Source organism: Homo sapiens, chromosome 6 (assembly GCF_000001405.40).
Source record: "Homo sapiens chromosome 6, GRCh38.p14 Primary Assembly".
Taxonomy (NCBI): Eukaryota; Metazoa; Chordata; class Mammalia; order Primates; family Hominidae; genus Homo; species Homo sapiens.
In genome coordinates this window covers 41,699,789-41,716,892 of record NC_000006.12, presented here as the reverse complement: position 1 = coordinate 41,716,892, position 17,104 = coordinate 41,699,789, and the positions used below count along the sequence as shown (strand labels likewise).

Genomic DNA, 17,104 nt, shown 5'->3' with positions numbered 1-17,104 from the left:
GTCCTCTGCTAGCTGTGGGGGACTCTGAGTGATGGGCCAGGGGGTAGGCCAGGCTGGGTTGTGAGGTGGGAGGAGGTGGTGGCTCCCTGTCAGAGAGTGTCCTCTCCTGGAGGGCTGTTTGCCCAAGTTATTCTTAGCACAGACTCATTATAGAGTCTATTTTTAGCCCTGTTTCTAAGTGTTGCCAACATCTGGTGCAGCCAGCACTAAAGGGGGTGGGGGTGGCAGGGGCTACTCCTTTGGACATTTCTGGGGACTGGAGCCTCTGGCAGGAGAGCAAGGACAGAATCTTCTACTTCCTGCACCTGCCACAGCTTGAAGCTTGGCATGCAGTAGGTGTCCTATTCATGCTTGTGCGTTGATTGCTCTCCCAGGATCTCATCCTTCCAGCTCTAGCTCCTGTGAGTGGGTGGGTGGTGGGGATGGTGTTACCACAGCTGGAGAGGATGAGCTGAAGGTGCTCATCAGATAGGTTTCCCACATCCACCCCTCAGGGGTCCAGTTGGCCTCAGACCCCTGCAGAGAGGCCTCAGAGGAGGGAGGCAAGCCCCAAACTATGGTGCTTGTGACAGCTACCGCTGAAGGAGGAGCCAGCAGACATTATAGGGAGGGGGTGTACCACTGGGGTGAGACTGCCTGGGGTTGAATCCTAGCTCGGCTCTTTCCTAGCTGTGTAAACTTGGGCAACTCATCAACCTCTGTATGCCTCAGTTTCCTCCTCTGTGAGATGGAGATGGGAGTGTAGTGTTGTGAGGATTAAGTAAGATAATACTGTATGAACTGCCTAAATAGAAAGTGCTGTATAATAGAGAGGTGGTGGTATTAGTAGCAGTGGTAGTGCTATATTACTGAGAAGCTCCGTATGTGACATCCTGTTGGGGTGAGTTGGGTAGGAGACCTCTCAGCTTTTCTTTGAGTGAGATGAGGCTTGCAGTGGGGCTCAGAGGAAGTTGTTATAGCCAGGCACCACGACAGTGGTGATGTCTGCAAGGCTGCAGTGGGGGTCAAGAGCTATGTGCTGGGTTGGAATCTGGGCTTTGCCACTCACAGGTTGGGTGACCTTGGATGAGTCACTTAATCTTCCTGAACGCCCACTTCTTTATATACAAGAAAGAAATGATAATACCTGGGTCATAGGCGTGATGTACGTGGAGCTTTTTGCCCTGTACTGGGAGCATGGGAGGACCTGAATCCGTGAGACTTTTTTTTTTTTTTTCTTAATTGAGACAGATTCTCGCTCTGTCGCCCAGGCTGGAGTGCAGTAGCGTGATCTCGGCTCACTGCAAGCTCCGCCTCCTGGGTTCAAGCGATTCTCCTGCCTCAGTCTCCCGAGTAGCTGGGATTACAGGCATCCGCCACCACACCCGGCTAATTTTTGTAATTTTAGTAGAGATGGGGTTTCACCATGTTGGTCAAGCTGGTCTCGAACTCCCGACCTCAGGTGATCCACCCGCCTCAGCCTCCCAAAGTGCTAGGATGACAGGTGTCAGCCACTGCGCCCGGCTCATGAGACTTTTTTGGGAGTGGGGGTGTTGCTGTGTCCCTTTCCCATGTGGAGGATGGGGTCCTGTTGTCTTGAGAGTCTTGGGAAACAGCTTGGCCTGGAAGTTGGGAGGGCCAGGGCTGTGGTCCTAGCTCTCCCTAAGCTGTGTGGTCCGCACATACTCCCTGCTTCCTCCAGACTTCCGCAACATGGAGAGGCCAGAGAAAACTGTGGTTTTCAGATTCTTCGTCACAGTCCCAGAAGGTGCCTTGGGTACTATCTGGGAGCGTGGGGGAGGCCCTGGTTGGAGGCCAGGTGGGGTGGTCCTCCCACTCCCCATGCTGCTCTCCTGCTCCTCACACTGACTCCTGGTGCTCCATGGAGCGGCTTCATCCTCATGTTTTACATATCAAGGGTCCAGGCCGACTTTGTCTGAAAATGGGAGTGCTGCTGCTAACATCAACCTGGGACTTTCTGGTAGGTGACTCCCAGGCTCCTTGTCGTCTGACATTTTGTGCCCTCTGACTTGGCATGGACTCCCGGAGGAGTGCCAACCTGTATATCAGGGTCTGGAGTGCTGTGGTCACTGGATTCCCTGAGGGCTGGAGTCCCTTGGGGTGTGGAGGGCAGAGGAGGCTGCCTCCAGGGCCTCTCTGGGGCCGGGCCGCCACTCAAGGGTAGAGCTTCCAGCGCTGCCCCAGTCTCCCCGCACCCTCGGGATGGGGGTCCCCTGAAGACAATAGTCCGTCTCAGAAGCAGTGTCTCACAGGAGGGAGGGGTGATATGGGCAGAAAGGCCCTGCCAGAGTGCTGGCATGTAGTAAGTGCTCAAGAAATATTTGAAATGAATGAATGGAATGATACCATCAAGGCCGCACCTCTGATCTGGTGATGAATTTTCCCTCGCCTCCCTTTTCTTCCTTCTCGCCCCTGCTCCCTCTTCCCCATCCTCTGCTTTGTCTGACTAGCCATAAGCTACCCCAGCCTGGGTTCCAGATTCAGCCTTATTCATAATCTAGAACAAAGACACTTCCCCAATGTGAGTTACAGTTTGTTCATCTGGAAAACAAACACGATGGGCTCAGGTTCCGAAGGCCCTTTGGTTCTCACCGTCTCTTTTCTCAGGGCATGGGAGTGATTTCTCAGAGTAGGGGTGGTAGAAGCACATGCATACACACACGCACACACACAGACACGCACGCACATGCACGCACATGCATGCACATGCACACACACGCACACATGCACACGCATGCACATGCACACACACGCACACATGCACACGCACACACACACACACGTGCACACACACACGCACACACAGGACTCAGTGCAGTGGTCTTGGCTGGGAAAGGTCCTTGCCCTCTGACCAGGAAGGAGCCCTCGGAGCTGAGGTGCTCCCAGACTCAGCACTGTTTGGGGCCTACAGGATGTGGTGTGGCCCACTCTAGCTCAGGCTGGGGGGTTCCTGTGGGTGTCAGGGGATGGGTGGCCATCCAACTGTGTCCACTGGGCTGGGCTGCCACAGTGACTTTGTGTATGACCTTCAGGGAGTGTGGGTGGCATGCATCAGGACGCCTATCTGTGTCGTTATGACTGGGCGTGAGGGAGGGTGCCACATGTCTAGCCAGCCAGGGAGCAGGGCCAGTTAGCTCCTGTTCCTGGGTGCCTCCTGGCTCTGGGGAGAATAGAAAATGATTCATGCAAAGGGGCCCTCCCTGTTTTGGCCACAGCCTGAGGAGTAAGGTGGCCTGGCTGTCTGCCTTTCCCTGCTGCCCACCAGGTGCCTGAGTTCTCCCCTCCTTCCTCGCCTCAGACCGCGTTTCTCCCTGGGGGTAGGTGGCTGCCCTTCCCTGCAGCCTGACACCCTCTCAGAGACAATTAGAGGAGTAGGCTGCCCATGCCTACAGCTATAAGAGTGAGTCAGCGTAGGGACCGGAGGGGATCAAGTCTCTCTGAATCCTGCGGCCAGACGGTCCCTGCACCAGAAGAAGTGGCCCAGTGAGGCCTGGGCTGGGATGCTGTGGTCAGCACTGATACCAGCTGAGTGGCTTTCCAGCTTGAGAAGACCTGCCAGGGACAGGAGAGGACAAGCTCCACCTGCCCACCACCCGCCTCGCCATCCTGGCTGCAGCCAGCTGGTGACTCATTCTCCTGGGGAGTGAGCCAGCTCCTCTCCTGGGGTACCCCAGCACCCTGGTGCAGGCTGGGTGGCCAGGAGTCCTGGGTGCCTCAGAAAACCTGTGCTGAGCCCAGGGCCCTGGTAAGCTGGGGAGGGAGGACTGAGGCCCTCTGTATGGGGTGGGGGTCGCAGCCAGACTTCTCTTGCTCCTTCTCCTGGCCCCCGCAGACTTCACCCTCCCTCTGGCCAAAGAGGAGGCTGCAACCCCAGATTACGTAATAGGTCCAAAATGCCTCGCAAGCGAGCAGCCCAGCCAGTGGCTAGACTCAGGAGTCCCCATTTCCCAGTACCTGCCACCAGAGCAAGTTCCCATTCCCTTCCTAGGCCGGGTGGGGGAGTGGGTGGTGCTTGCTCACCCCTGGAAAGAGCTGTGCTGCCTGGGAGGGGGTGGGGAGGCTTTCTCCAGAGACATGAATTCTTGGCCTGACCCCAGATGCCAGCCTGCCTGCCCAGCTCCACTCCAGAGTAACGCTGGGTGCACACACAGCCCCATTGTGTGCCTGGGCCCCGTGCCTGCCCAGGGCCTGGCACCGGCTCTATCAACAGCAGTGGCTCCGTCAGCTCCTCAGCAGCCCCTGCCAGTGCTTGAGCCCTTGGGCCCCTGGTGAGGAGGAAGAGGGAGGACTAGTGATTAAGGGTATGAGTCCTGGGTGGGGTACCAGGACCTTTTGGATACTATCAACTATGAGAGACAAGAGCAGGGAGACTTAGTCCTGTTCTCCGAGGAGGAAACTGAGGCCCTGAGAGGCTTCAGTAACTTGCCCAAGGCCTCATGGCTAGTGAGAAGCAGAGCCGGGGTTGGAGCCCAGAGCTGTGGCTGAGCCCCTTACTGGTCTCGTCACCCAATCCCAGACCAGGACTCAGGAAAAGGCACGGTGCCCTCTTTCCACAGCCCCACTTTGGGGAGCCTCTTTCTCGAAAATATATGTCCCCAGGGTAGAAGAGGACCCTGAGACGGTAGGATCTGGAGTCCTGTAGGACCCTGGAATGGTAGGATTTGGAGTCCTGTGTGCTTGTGAGAAACATGGGGGTTCATTTTCAAGGATGGTGCTGGTGGCCAGACAGGCAGAGCAGGTTTCCAGAGCTGGAGGACAGGCTCTGTGCCTCAGTTTCCCTGCTCTACCTGCACTGTACATCCACTGTGCCTTCTAGGAGGGGATAGAAATATTGAGGTGAGGTATGGCCGGGGCTGGGGACTGGACCCCCACTGCTGAGCTCTATAGGCTGTGCGAAGCCCCCTTCACCAACCCAGAACCCCACTCAATGCCTCATGATGGTTCTATTCTAAGTTGGGTCTGAGCCATCCACCTCCTCAGCTTTCCCAGCCTGAAGAGGCCTCTGAGCTGGGTGAGCCTGCCAAGGGGGCAGCCCAGCTCGGTGCCATGAGGGCCCTGCCTCTGCCGCAGGCCCATGTTCCCCCACCCCCCTGCCAAGGTGAGGGTGCCCAGACATGACCCTTTTGGGGCCTGCCCTGTGTTTTACTTTCCAGGCTAGGCTTATTCACTCAGAGAGGCTTGACCCCCTGGGGCTTGGGGGAGCTGAAGGGCTCCTCCCTTCTCCAACAGCCCACCCTTTTGTTCCCCTGTCTGTCTTGGGCATGAAGCCTGGCTCCCTCCTTCTACACCACCTCAGCGCTCTTAGCAAAGGGACAGGGAATTCTGCAGTGACTGCAGGATTGTGAAATGCCAGGGCTGGACCTTGGGGACAGGCAGGGAAGAGAGATGCTGGAAGGGGACACCGAGACTGTGTCCTTTCATACCCCACCTGGGAGGCCAGTCTCCTCCATTCTGCTGGCGCTCATTTTCCTGCATGTATACCATTCCCACCCACCAGTCAGCACACCTTCACCTAAGGCCACAGCGGTGGGGACGTTGAGCCCAGAGGGCCATGTCCGAGTGTCCTCTACCTGGAGCCTGTGTGGGAGAGGAGGAAACCAAGGGACAGCCCTCAAGGAGTTCACACTGCAGCTGAGAAAACCAGAGAGGTGACTTCTTTGTACCTGTTTCTCATTTGTAAAATGAGTACAGTAGTATTTCCTACTTCCTAGTGTTATTGGGAAGGCCAAATGAATTAATACATGATAAAGCCAAGGGCCTGGCACTGGCTCTATCACGGCTTTAGAAGCCATCCTTGATAGATGGTTTTACAACTCAATACAAGTTTTAGTATTATCCATAGTGGTAGAAGAAATACAATATATGCTATCAGGTGATGATGTTTTTTCCAAGCTGGATTGTAAAAACCATAGGGCAAGGGCTGTCTTATTCATCCTTGTATTCCTGTTTCAGACACAGAACCAGGCTTGGAACAGAGTAAGTAATTGTGCCCAAATGGTGATTAGAGGTGGGTGAAGTCAGGGTGTGCTGTCGGGAGGAGGAGGAGACCCTGGAGCAGGGCTTCCAGAGAGGAGGAGAAGTTGGATAATCTGTGGGAGAGGAACTGGGGGAGGGTCTGGGGGCCCAGATTGGGTTGGCGTGAGAGAGCAAGGAGGTCCCCTTGGCTGCACCCAGTGTTTGTTTAGGGAGAGGGATCCTGCATGCTTTGGAGGCCCAACTAGAGCGCTTGGACTTTATCTGGTAGGTAGTGGAGAGCAATTGGGGGTGATGGAGCAGGAAAAAAATGGTCTTTCTATGTTGCTCCATCTGTTTCATTTTGTTTTTGCTCCCTTGTTCTCTGAGGAATATTTTCTTTCTTCATTTCTCCAAAGACAATAAATCCTCTCTGCTCTTCAGCCTCTTCTTTCTGATCCGTAGTTACCCCTGTCCCAAATCCCTGCATTCTGTTCTTGGCTTCTTCTCCTTGGCCATCCTGGCCTGTTGTCCCTGCTGTGCTTTTACCTGGCTTCCCCTTCCTTTATCTGGTCCCTGACCCACCTTCTCTGGAATAGGAGTTGGGTGGAGTTGGACTTGCTGAGAGATGGGTACTGGCATGGCATGACCACATGGTGGGAGCTGGTATGAAGGCAACTGAGCCAGGAGGATATCCTCTATTCTGATGTAACTCTATACATCCTTCAGGGAATGACTCTGCCCCAGTTATGTGGCTAAGGCCCATTAGAAGGATCTTACTTTATATTTGTCAACCTGTTTAATGAAAATGTAGATTTCCAAAATAGATAAATTAGGGAGTGATGGAATCTTATTTTCTCGTTTATAAATTTAGTGGAAAGATCAGCACTTTGGGAGGCTGAGGCAGGAGAATCGCTTGAGGCCAGGAGTTCAAGACTAGCCTGGGCAACATAATGAGACCCCCATCTCTACAAAAAATAAACAAATTAGTGGGGGCATAGTGGCACACACTTGTGGTCTCAACTACTTGGGAGGCTGAGGTGGGAGGATCGTTTGAGCCTGGAAGGGTGAAGCTGCAGTGAGATGTGGTTGCGCCACTGCACTCCAGCCTGGATGACAGAGTGAGACCCTGTCTCAAAAATAAAAATAAAAAATAAATTTAATGGAAAGGGATATTGAACCAGATGGGAACGATGCAGACAACTAGTGCCTTTTTCATCTCCTTTTAAACATCCATCCATCTATCCATGCATACATCTATCCATTATATCCACCTTTTCATCCATTATATCCATCCATCCATCCATCCACCCACCATTATATCCACCTTTTCATCTGTCCACCCGTCCATTTAGGCATGCATCCATTATATCCATCCATCCATCCATCCATCCATCCATCCATCCATCCACCAACCATTATATCTACTTTTTCATGCATCCACCCATCCATTTATGCATGCATCCATTATGTCCATCCATCCATTATATACATGCATCCATCTAATATTTATTGAGCACCTATCCTGTGCCAGGTACTGCATTAGATACTTTATGTTTAATCCTTACAGAAATTCTCCAGGGTGGATATTGTCCTAATTTTACACATGAGGATACTGCGACCCTGGGAATTTAAGTAAGTTGATGAAGGTCACACAGCTAGAAAGTGACAGATCTGGGATTCAGCTTGACTAGGTTCAAAACACACACTCTTAGTGTTTAATCAAATGGCCTCTGTTGGTGTCACCAGTGCCTAGTTCTAAGTGCGGAACATAATAGCTGTGTTATTGAATGAACAGGCATGCCAAGGTTCTGGAATGCTGGAGCTCTATAGCTCTATCCTAGGAGCAGCCTGGGGGCAGAAGGCAATGCTGGGCTTCTAGTCCTACTGGCATTTGCTACCAGCAACCTAATGTTGCCATCACTACCCCCGGTATGGAGGTTTCTTCTCCATGCAACTTGCAACTCTGGCAAGTCCTGTTTTCTTCTCTCTACCATCCCAGCTCTCCTTCTGAGGGCAGTCTTAACCTTCCGCCAAGTGGGGAAGTTCCAAGTACACATTTGGCCATTGCATCCAGCTTGACCAGTCTCCCCAGTGACTGGTCTTCCCCTAGCTCACACCTGCCTCTCTCCTTCCCTGTAGGGTGGGCTAGCTTGCATTACTCTGACCCTTTTATTGGCCCCTATTTCTAAGCTTTAGAGTTAGCTATTCAGTATCAGGTCATAACTGCCTCCTCAGGGCCCATTGGGTGAGGCAAGGATATGAGTGCAAACAGTTTATTTGGGAGGCTCCCCCAGGGAGCACCAGTGGTAGAGTAGGATTCATGAGACAGGAAGGCAAGGAAGCTGATAAAATGTGTGTGAAGGAGCAAGGTGACTGTGGGCATCTGAGGCTCACTGCCATTGGAGGCCTCTGCAGAATATGCTTTAGAGTTCCCCAGTCAAGTGATAGGTGTCTTTGGCTAAGAGGTGGTGGGGAAGGGAGGGAGCTAACTTCATTGGTTCAGGCACCAATTCAGGTGCTGGCACCTGGAAATCTTCAGGTGGGCACTTTTGACATCGTGAGGGCCCAGAGCATGTGGCTGGGGCCCTGATAGCTTTTGCCACCTCATCAAGCCCAGCCCTGGGGGTCTGCCAAGCCCTCTTCCCACATCTCCCTTTCTATGTCCAAGAGGCTTCCCCAGGCAGACCCTTCCCCAGTCGCCAGTTCCACGCTCACTGTGTTTCACAGATACTTAGGGAGCATCTACAAGGTGCCATGGACAAAAAGAGGAAGCTGTCAGGATGCCTCCAGGCACTCACAGCAGAGGAAGGTGACCTGTGCGGCTGAGGCGCCTGCCATGTGGCAGACACTGGCTCGCCCATCCCAGGCCTTGTGCAAGGCCAGCAATGCCCCTGTGGCATGGCATCCTCTCCTAGAGGGAGGTACAGACGTGCTGAGCGCCACAGAGCCTAGAGCCGTCTTCCACTTCCCTCCCAACTCTAGCATCCTGAGGCTGTGATTGTAGTGGTTTTTCTGACTTCCTTTTCCTTTCTGTCACTGCGCCTGCCTCTTCCCCTAGCCCCATGGCCGCCACGTGGCTGCCTTTTAGTCAGCCGGGAACTGAGCCTCCTAGTAGCCTCCCTCTGTGTCTCTGTCAGGAACAGGATACAATTCAGGGACATTTTGGTGGGGGAGTAATTTCGTGCGGTGGCATACCTGTTTGCCCTGGCACAGGCTCTGTCATGTCTGCTTCTTGGAGAGGAGCCTTCTTCCCCTGGGCTCCACCTGTTCCCATCCCCAGCCCTCCCAGCTTCAGGCTACAGGTCTCGCACCCTATAGGGCTGAGGGAATGGGAAGAATTAAAAGAGGGAAGTGGCGTGTAGGTAAGGCCTTCTGGGGTGGGGGCTAGGGGAAGGGCAGGAGATGGGGATGGGGCAGGGGCTGGGCCTGGCGGTGTGCTTCCCCTGGAGACGTGGTCCTGGGCCACAGGCAGGCACGCCAAGTCACAGCCCCTCTGACTTCTTCCTCCAGCCACCAGCCCCAGCCTTTCCCCTTGATGTTTCATTTCCAAACCAGGTCTGCTCTGGGTGCGTGTGCTGGGGTGGCAGGGGTAGGAGTGTGTCTGCCTGTGCCATTCCCTACCCTGTGGGCAGGCCCAGCCATGGCAGCCCGAGTCTATCATCTCCCCACTCCGCCACTTGGATAGGAAGGTGGCTGCACTCACTCCAGGCAGGTGTGTTGTTGGGAGGAGAACAGAGAGGATTGGTTCAGGCATTGGAAGATGGGGTTTATGTCTCAGGTTTGAGCTCAAGCATCTTGGGTCCAGGGAGAAGGTGTAAGGCAGCTGCTGCCTGAGTCTCAACTCTATGGGGGAAAGCAGAGCAGCTCTGAGCCTTGGGGCTGGGCAGGCAGGAGGGCATGGAGCCCAGATGAGTGGAAGAGAATGATGATGAAAGAGCAGACTTCCCGATGCTCCTCCCCCGACCCCATCACATGCAGAGTTCAACACACCCCACTCCTCGCTCTGTCCTGGTAAAGGCAGAGTGCTTCTTATGGTGTTTAAGGACAGGAAAAGGGCTGGAAGTGTGTGTGTGTGAATTTTGCTTCCTGTTCCTTTCATACCTGGGTGTGGGCGGGGGGAGATGGGGGCAGGTTGGGGGACAGCTCACTCACTCCATCCGGTGGGTGGGTGACTTGGTGGGCTGTTGGAATGTTGCCATAGGAGGCCATTTCTCCTCTATGGGGGGAGATGGTGGCTTCCAGGTCAGGTCTCCTCCTCTGGCTCCCTGACAGAGATGGGGTGGGAATGCCAGCCGGAGCGCACATGGACAGGGCAGGAGCAAAGCTGAATTCTGGGTCTAGGGCAGCTGACAGCATTTGGGAATCCTGGGGTGGGCCCCTGTTAGCTCTTCCCAGAACCCCAACTCTTGGGCAGGATGGGGGTGGGGGGGTGTAAGGGTGGTTGGGGGTGGGTGTAGGTGTGTGTTGTGAGGGGAGAAGAGCCCCCGCTGAGTTCCTGGGCCACTGCCTGTGCTGTCTAGTGGCCTCTGCCAGCACTGGCTGCCCCGTCCTGCCCCCACCAGGCGTGACTCAGATCGAAAGCAGAAGCTGCCAGACACTGCACAGGGTGAAGTGAGGCAGAACCAACTCTGCTATTTTGGAACCTGGTTAATTCCCCCTTCTGCCCCCCACCTCCCTGCTCTCAGGGCTCCCATCCCCTCCAGCTGTCTGGCACTTCAGCTTCCTCAAGGGGACAGTTGGGGCAGGCCTTGGTTTCCCCTGGCATGGACGTGGAAGGCCATGCTGAGGCCCCTGTCCTTGCTAGGCCCCTCTCCCTGGCCAGAGGTGCTGGATTCTGGGGACCTGCGCTCTGGGGTTGGGGAGGAAGAGCGCCCTCTCCTGGTGGGAACTCGTGGGCAGGGCGGCCCTGGCGAGATGACGGTCACCAGGCCTGGCACCCACTCTCCCCCGCCCATCTTTGGCCGCTCTCAGGCCAGCTGTCAGCTGCCTCTCCCAGGGGTGTGAGCTGACGAGAGCTTCAGGTGGGAGCCTCTCCCGGCAGTGAATCTGAGGGTTGGGAGGGATTTCCGGACCCAGAGGGAAGATATTTTGGGGCCGAGGGCCTTTCCAGAACCCATGAAATCACACACCCTGCTGCGACCAGACTGACCCTCCCTAGTTGATGGTTCTTTTTTGGACATCCTAGGCCTGCTTGGGATTCTGGCCCCATGATTTAGGGTTTCTTTGGAGCCCATCTGAGCCTGGGGGGCCCTGTGGTGGTGGAAGAGGTCCAGCCTGCGGTGGTGAAAGAGGTCAGTGGATGTGTGTTTCTGAGCTGAAAATGGGTGTGGAGTTGAGAGCTGTCACCTCTTCATGGACAGGGTGGATGAGGGTCCCTGGCCCTTCAGAAGCTGTGTCGTTGGGAAGAGGGTGGACTTTACAGCTGTCCCGTGTGAGTGTACATGGGAGTGGGCACAGGCCTTGCGGTATGGCTGCCTCTCAGGGAACCCTGAAGTCAGAGCTCCACTCTGCTGATTACCCCCCAGCAACCTGGTGAGGAGGATGGTGGTATACTGGGGGAGAGGGGAGTCAGCAGGCAGGTGACCAATTAAAATTTGGGTCCTTGCCAACCTCAGGTGGGCAGGACGTAGGTTTCTCATTGTTCAGATGGAGCTGGGGTTTAGGCAGGTGGGAGGCAGAGGCAGAGCCGTGTGGAGGAGAGAGTGGGCTCCTAGACCTGCTGTGGGAGCCTCCACACTCCCAGGCCTCCTGCGGAGCACACAGGCCCAGGCACACACTGTCCCAAAGGTTGTCTGCTCTCTTCTGGAGCTGCTCTTTGGGCAGGCAGGCAAGTCCTGGTGCAGTGTGTGTGTACTGGTGAGTGTGTATGTGTGGACAGTGGCTTATGTGTGAGAGGTGGTGTTTGCATGAATGGGTGTGTCTCATATGGTCTGTCTGGGTTGCTTTTCCACTGGTAACCATCTCGGCTTTGAAGCTGTTTCCCCATAGACCTGGATTGTTTTCCCCTCCTGCACGGGCCAGAGCCCCAGCACCCAGTGAGCCAGAGCCCACCTGCAGCCTTGCATTCTGGCCTCCACCTTGGCTCTTGAGCCTGAGAATCAGGCTGCTTAATTTCCCTGTGGGGCTCAGAAGGGCCCTGCCTGTCCTTTAAAATAGCTCTGTGCTTCCACCAGGGGCCTGTGCTTCCCTGCTGTGTTCTCCCACCCGCCACCAATTTTCATGCTTGGAACCAGGGAACTAAGTCCCCAGAAGGCAACAAGTAAAGTGTCTTTAATGTGCCCACACATCTCCCAGGGCAGTTTGTTAAAATGCAGATTCTGACTCAGTGGGTCTGGGCAGGGCCTGAGAGCCTGTTTCTAACCAGCAAACAGGGCGTGCAATGCCTTAAGAGGCCCTCTCCCATCTAAGGCCCTCACTGTCCAGCCAGATGGCTGGTGGTCACCCAGGCAGGGAGCTAGTACTCACAGACCACCTCCAAGGTGCTAGGCACATCACATATTTCAGTTCCATTTACCCCCTCACTGACTCTGAGGAAGGTGGCATTACCGCCATCCTTTTGTACAGATGGGGAAACTGAGGCTCTGAGCGGTTAAGCACCTGCCCCCAGTCACAAAGCTGACAAATGGCAAAGCCAGATTTGAATTCTGGTCTGTCAGGGTCCAGAGCATATTCGTGATCCACTAAGCCCGGCTGTCTTCCAGAGGGCGGACTCAGGACAGATGACGTGGTGGAGGTGGAGGCGGGGTCAGAGGCTCTGTTGGGGAACTGCAAGGGTAGTCCTGGGTGGTTTTGGATGGAAAGGATATCTTGAGGGGAAGGAGGGTTGAATGGGAGTAGTTCTAGAGGAAACAAGAGCTGAGGGGAGGCTGGTGTCCTGCACCCACCTGCTTAGCCAAGAGCCCCTTCACTGATGGGCTCAAGACCCCCTACCTGCCTCCTCTGGCACTTTCCAGACAGACTCTCCACAGGGGCACCCAGCACACTGTGGGGAGACCAGGTGCCCCAGTTCTGCTACCTACCAACTGTGTGACCTCGGGCAAGTTTTCAGCCTCTCTGTGACTCAGTTGCCCCCTCTGTAAAACAGGGGATATGTGAACGCCTCCATCATGGTGGATGGAGCTGTGGTGAGGATTAAATCAGTAACACATATCAATGCAGAACAGTGCCTGGTGCAGAGTACGCACTCAGTGTGCATAGTACTAATGCCTCTTGGTTTGCACCTGAGAGAAAACAGGCCACCTTCTGTGAATTCAATGCAATCGTCCATGCTCATAGATGTTTTTGTCCTTTCTTCCTCCATTCCCCTCTCCACTGTCTTCTTTTGTTTAGGAAGACCTGGCTACTTCAGTTGTACAGTGGTTGTTTCCAAAGTACTCAGAAGCAGGTTTGACTCTTAAAAACAAAGCCAGGGAATCGTTCTTTACAGCAGACCAGCCACAGGGAGGCTGGGGAGGCTGAGGCAGCAGATGACGGAGGAGGAGCAGCCCCAGGAGCAGGGGCAGGAGCCAGGCACTGGCGGGGTTGGAGTGCTCTGAGGACTTTGGGCCTGGGGCAGGGAGGGCTGAGGCGGGGGTGGCTTAGGCACTGGGACCCTGAGAGCCATTATTAGAACTCAGGACAGATGCAGGGGGTCCTGGGCCTGCGGCTGGGTTTGGGACCAGGAGCCAGAAGCTGCTCTGCATGCCCGCTGTGTGCCCAGCTGTGGTCGTTGTGCCTGCCTCTTCTCACACTTGGAGTCAACGAGCCTTCCCTGCCCTAAGCAGCTGGCAGCTAGCAGAAGATGCTGGAGTGTGGATTCTTTTCTCCTGAGGAGATGGAAAAGCAAAGGCTGGATCCTAAGGCTGCCATGGCTCTGGAGAGGGAGCTCCCCAATGCTGGGGCAGCCAGCACATGGGACAGTGAAACCGGTGCCTGGCCCTTCCCCTCCCAGCCTGCAGGCCGATTCCACCGGACCAGCCCTCCACACATCCATGCTGCCAGAACCATCAGCACACCAGGCAGGCGGCAGGGAGCCTATGAGAGGTCCCACACAGCCTCTGCATGTTATTTGTGAGGGTCTTGAGTCCCGGAGAGGGGGACAGGACTTGCCCAAGGTCACGCAGCTGGGTGGTGCATACCGATGCAGGTCTTCCAGTCCCACTCTGGCCTTAGGTAGGCTTTTGTGCTGGGCCTGTGGAGGCTGAGAGAGTCCTTGCAAAACAGACTCATCTCAGAGAGTCAGAGCTTGTGGGCCCCAAGTCCACAATGGCATGAACTGACCAATCAGATAGAGTCTTAGGCCTCACCTTCCCTGGGGAGGGACCTCATTGACCACATAGGCTGACGTAGCATCCATGAAAACTTTAGCTGATCTTTCCTGCAGGGGACATGAGCAGGTTCGCTGGGGTGGGCCAGAGGGTACTTGGGGCAAGTGGAGTTTCAGTCTCTAAACCCCTCTATCGCCCTCAGGCCCCTTTCCTGTCCTAGGAGCCATCTATGGCTGAGTCCCACTCCTCCCCCAACCCTTACCACCCTCACCTCACTATGGTCTGGTGCCAGATCTCTGATCCCTGGAATCACATTTCTGTCTGACCAACTCATATAGCCTCCCCTTCCGCCCCCTCCGACCCAGGCTCTCAGGCGGGCTAACCGTCTCAGCGAGATTCAGATTTGTCACCCTCTGAGCCTCCTGGGCATGGATGTCTTGGCTATTTAGCAAAAAGCATCTGTGGGTGGGGTCTGGGAGGGCTGAGGAGCATGCAGGCCTCTCTGGGGAACCTCTGTAGGATTCGCTGAGGGTGACATGGGATGAGGGGGGCGCAGGACTGGGAGTGCAGGGGACAACAAGCCATCTACATGGGGAGACCTTTCCTATGGGCCCCAGGTTACCTCTCCTGGGCTGGAGCTGCTGGTGGTCACATACCTGAGAGACCTGGGCTTGAACCCCCACTTCACTGTGCTCTTGCAGTGTGACTTCTGACAAGCTGCTTAATCTTTCTTTTTTTTTTTTTTTTGAGACGGAGCCTTGCTCTGTCGCCCAGGCTGGAGTGCAGTGGTGCGATCTCAGCTCATTACAACCTCTGCCTCCTGAGTTCAAGCCATTCTCCTGCCTCAGCCTCCCAAGTAGCTGGGACTACAGGCATGTGCCACCGCGCCTGGCTAATTTTTGTATTTTTAGTAGAGACAGGGTTTCACCATGTTGGCCAGGCTGGTCTCGAACTCCTGACCTCAAGTGATCCACCTGCCTCAGCCTCCCAAAGTGCTGGGATTACAGGCATGAGCCACTGCGCCTGGCCTACTTAACCTTTCTGAGTCTCGGTTTCCTATCCTGCTGTGTTGCTGTTTATCCCATCAAGTGTTTGTGTGGATGAATGTGATTGAACAGAGGCCCCTTGCGCAGTGCAATGTGGGAGGGACTCGGAGCGTTTGCCAAGTGGGTGATAACTGAGTGTGTGGGGGTCACTGGACCAGCAGCCCTTGAGGGCCGTGCATCTCTTTCTGGAAAGTCTGATGGGTGGGATGGTGTGGAGGTTCTGAAGAAGAAAAGTGATTTCTCTGAAACTTCCTTGTAGCTGAGGAGACTGGTAGGTGGCAAGGAAACAACTAGAGAACAAAGCATGGCAGACACAGGCAGGAGGCTGGAGTAGATGGAGTGCCCAGGAGGCGGGTGCAGGGGCACAAGGGGTGGGGGTTCAGTCCCACCACTCCCCAACCCAGGAGAAAGGTGGCTGCCTGCTAAGGGGATCCTTAGACTGCAAGCGGCAGCTGAGGGATGCGGCTACACGTGTGTGCACATGGACATGTGTGCATGTGTGCGTGCATGTGTGTGAGAGAGAAGAGAGAAAGAGAAGCAGACACGGAGAGACAGAGCGTCCACATGGGTGGCTGGGCCGGTCCGTGCATATCACAGGGGTGGAATCCTTTTCTAGTTTCTCCTTTCATGTTCCTATTAGCTACATGTCCCTCGTCCCTGTCCTGCCATGCCCAGTGGCAGTCGTCTTTGCCAGGGCCCAGCTGGTCCCAGTGGGACAGGACAGGGCGACTCCCTGGTCTGCAATGGCCTTTGAAGCTGCTCCCCCTGTTGTCCCGGGCCAACAGTCTGACCAGCCAGGAGGCGCCAGTTCCCACCCTTTCCTGTGGGATGTGAGCTGAAACTTGGGGCTGATGGGCCTGAGCTGTGGGAACAGGAGGCCATTAAGTGGGCCAGGAGCTTGTGTGACCGCCCTTCCTCTCTCCTCTCCTTCCTTTCCCTCCTCCCCACCTCCTGCTGGTGCTCAGAGATTTAAAAACAAGCCCCTGACTGCCCCCTGCCCCCAGCCCTGCAGTCTCCCGCAGCGCATTCCTGCAGGGGGTCTGGGAGAGGCGGTGCAGAACGCATCCTGGGGTCTTGCTCTGCTGCCACTGAAGCGCATTGTGCAGATCTCCCTTTTGGAGCCTCTGCTTCCTCATGTAATTCATTCTTTGTTTCTTGATCTTTTTTTTTTTTTTTTTTTGAGACGGAGTCTCGCTCTGTCGCCCAGGCTGGAGTGCAGTGGCGAGATCTCGGCTCACTGCAAGCTCCGCCTCCCGGGTTCACGCCATTCTCCTGCCTCAGCCTCTTGAGTAGCTGGGACTACAGGCGCCCGCCACCATGCCCGGCTAATTTTTTGTATTTTTAGTAGAGACGGGGTTTCACCGTGTTAGCCAGGATGGTCTCCATCTCTTGACCTTGTGATCCGCCCGCCTCAGCCTCCCAAAGTGCTGGGATTACAGGCGTGAGCCACCGCGCCCAGCCTCTTTTGTTTCTTGATCTTTATTCATCACAAATAGGGGTTGGTCAGTCCTCAGTAAGTGTCCCCACTTGGCAGAGCGGTTCCATTTCATGAAATATACTGAAGACCACATCCTGCATGACAGCCTTTGTGTGCTGTTGGAGACCATAGCACTCAGCCATGGTGATGCAGGACAGGGTCCCGGAGGGAACCTGCCAGGGTGATGGTGACATTCTCCATCTTGATCTAAACAGTGATTATACAAGGCCACACACCTGTAAAAATTCATTGAGCTGTACACTACAAATCTATGCATTTTGCTAGGATAAGTTACACTTCACTAAAAGGGAAAAAGACCAAAACATGGCATTAAAACTGTTAAAAGCATGTGCGTGTCCCATTGACCTCATTTCTGCTTC

At 54.9% G+C, this 17,104-nt stretch overlaps 1 protein-coding gene across 8 annotated transcripts in view, besides 13 other annotated features; it reads left to right on the top strand.

Annotated features, from left to right (window-relative positions):
* Positions 1-60: an enhancer, noted in NCBI's record as "active region_24522". NCBI's record gives its function as "activates an Ori minimal core promoter by ATAC-STARR-seq in GM12878 lymphoblastoid cells {active_cell/tissue: GM12878}" and the evidence as "EXISTENCE:reporter gene assay evidence [ECO:0000049][PMID:35858748]".
* Positions 1-17,104, top strand: part of TFEB (transcription factor EB) — a 52,246-nt gene that overhangs the window by 19,331 nt on the left and 15,811 nt on the right. The window contains exon 2 of one of the 8 annotated variants that reach the window (XM_047419361.1): positions 11,141-11,246. The exons of 6 other annotated variants lie outside the window; for them this stretch is intronic. The gene's annotated coding sequence lies outside the window, so the exon portion shown is untranslated. Of the gene's footprint in view, positions 1-11,070; positions 11,247-17,104 lie in introns of those variants that run through there. One more of the 8 variants, XM_006715212.5, reaches the window with a different exon arrangement.
* Positions 301-400: an enhancer, noted in NCBI's record as "active region_24521". NCBI's record gives its function as "activates an Ori minimal core promoter by ATAC-STARR-seq in GM12878 lymphoblastoid cells {active_cell/tissue: GM12878}" and the evidence as "EXISTENCE:reporter gene assay evidence [ECO:0000049][PMID:35858748]".
* Positions 511-560: an enhancer, noted in NCBI's record as "active region_24520". NCBI's record gives its function as "activates an Ori minimal core promoter by ATAC-STARR-seq in GM12878 lymphoblastoid cells {active_cell/tissue: GM12878}" and the evidence as "EXISTENCE:reporter gene assay evidence [ECO:0000049][PMID:35858748]".
* Positions 2,641-3,364: an enhancer, noted in NCBI's record as "H3K4me1 hESC enhancer chr6:41681267-41681990 (GRCh37/hg19 assembly coordinates)". NCBI's record gives its function as "activates a minimal SCP1, AML or CMV promoter by ChIP-STARR-seq in primed H9 embryonic stem cells {active_cell/tissue: H9 hESC(primed)}" and the evidence as "EXISTENCE:reporter gene assay evidence [ECO:0000049][PMID:30033119]".
* Positions 3,365-4,090: an enhancer, noted in NCBI's record as "H3K4me1 hESC enhancer chr6:41680541-41681266 (GRCh37/hg19 assembly coordinates)". NCBI's record gives its function as "activates a minimal SCP1, AML or CMV promoter by ChIP-STARR-seq in primed H9 embryonic stem cells {active_cell/tissue: H9 hESC(primed)}" and the evidence as "EXISTENCE:reporter gene assay evidence [ECO:0000049][PMID:30033119]".
* Positions 9,015-9,124: an enhancer, noted in NCBI's record as "active region_24519". NCBI's record gives its function as "activates an Ori minimal core promoter by ATAC-STARR-seq in GM12878 lymphoblastoid cells {active_cell/tissue: GM12878}" and the evidence as "EXISTENCE:reporter gene assay evidence [ECO:0000049][PMID:35858748]".
* Positions 9,365-9,434: an enhancer, noted in NCBI's record as "active region_24518". NCBI's record gives its function as "activates an Ori minimal core promoter by ATAC-STARR-seq in GM12878 lymphoblastoid cells {active_cell/tissue: GM12878}" and the evidence as "EXISTENCE:reporter gene assay evidence [ECO:0000049][PMID:35858748]".
* Positions 10,250-10,750: an enhancer, noted in NCBI's record as "H3K4me1 hESC enhancer chr6:41673881-41674381 (GRCh37/hg19 assembly coordinates)". NCBI's record gives its function as "activates a minimal SCP1, AML or CMV promoter by ChIP-STARR-seq in primed H9 embryonic stem cells {active_cell/tissue: H9 hESC(primed)}" and the evidence as "EXISTENCE:reporter gene assay evidence [ECO:0000049][PMID:30033119]".
* Positions 10,250-10,834: a biological region, named in NCBI's record as "H3K4me1 hESC enhancer GRCh37_chr6:41673881-41674381".
* Positions 10,365-10,444: a silencer, noted in NCBI's record as "silent region_17187". NCBI's record gives its function as "represses an Ori minimal core promoter by ATAC-STARR-seq in GM12878 lymphoblastoid cells {active_cell/tissue: GM12878}" and the evidence as "EXISTENCE:reporter gene assay evidence [ECO:0000049][PMID:35858748]".
* Positions 10,455-10,834: an enhancer, noted in NCBI's record as "active region_24517". NCBI's record gives its function as "activates an Ori minimal core promoter by ATAC-STARR-seq in GM12878 lymphoblastoid cells {active_cell/tissue: GM12878}" and the evidence as "EXISTENCE:reporter gene assay evidence [ECO:0000049][PMID:35858748]".
* Positions 10,751-11,251: an enhancer, noted in NCBI's record as "H3K4me1 hESC enhancer chr6:41673380-41673880 (GRCh37/hg19 assembly coordinates)". NCBI's record gives its function as "activates a minimal SCP1, AML or CMV promoter by ChIP-STARR-seq in primed H9 embryonic stem cells {active_cell/tissue: H9 hESC(primed)}" and the evidence as "EXISTENCE:reporter gene assay evidence [ECO:0000049][PMID:30033119]".
* Positions 11,015-11,234: an enhancer, noted in NCBI's record as "active region_24516". NCBI's record gives its function as "activates an Ori minimal core promoter by ATAC-STARR-seq in GM12878 lymphoblastoid cells {active_cell/tissue: GM12878}" and the evidence as "EXISTENCE:reporter gene assay evidence [ECO:0000049][PMID:35858748]".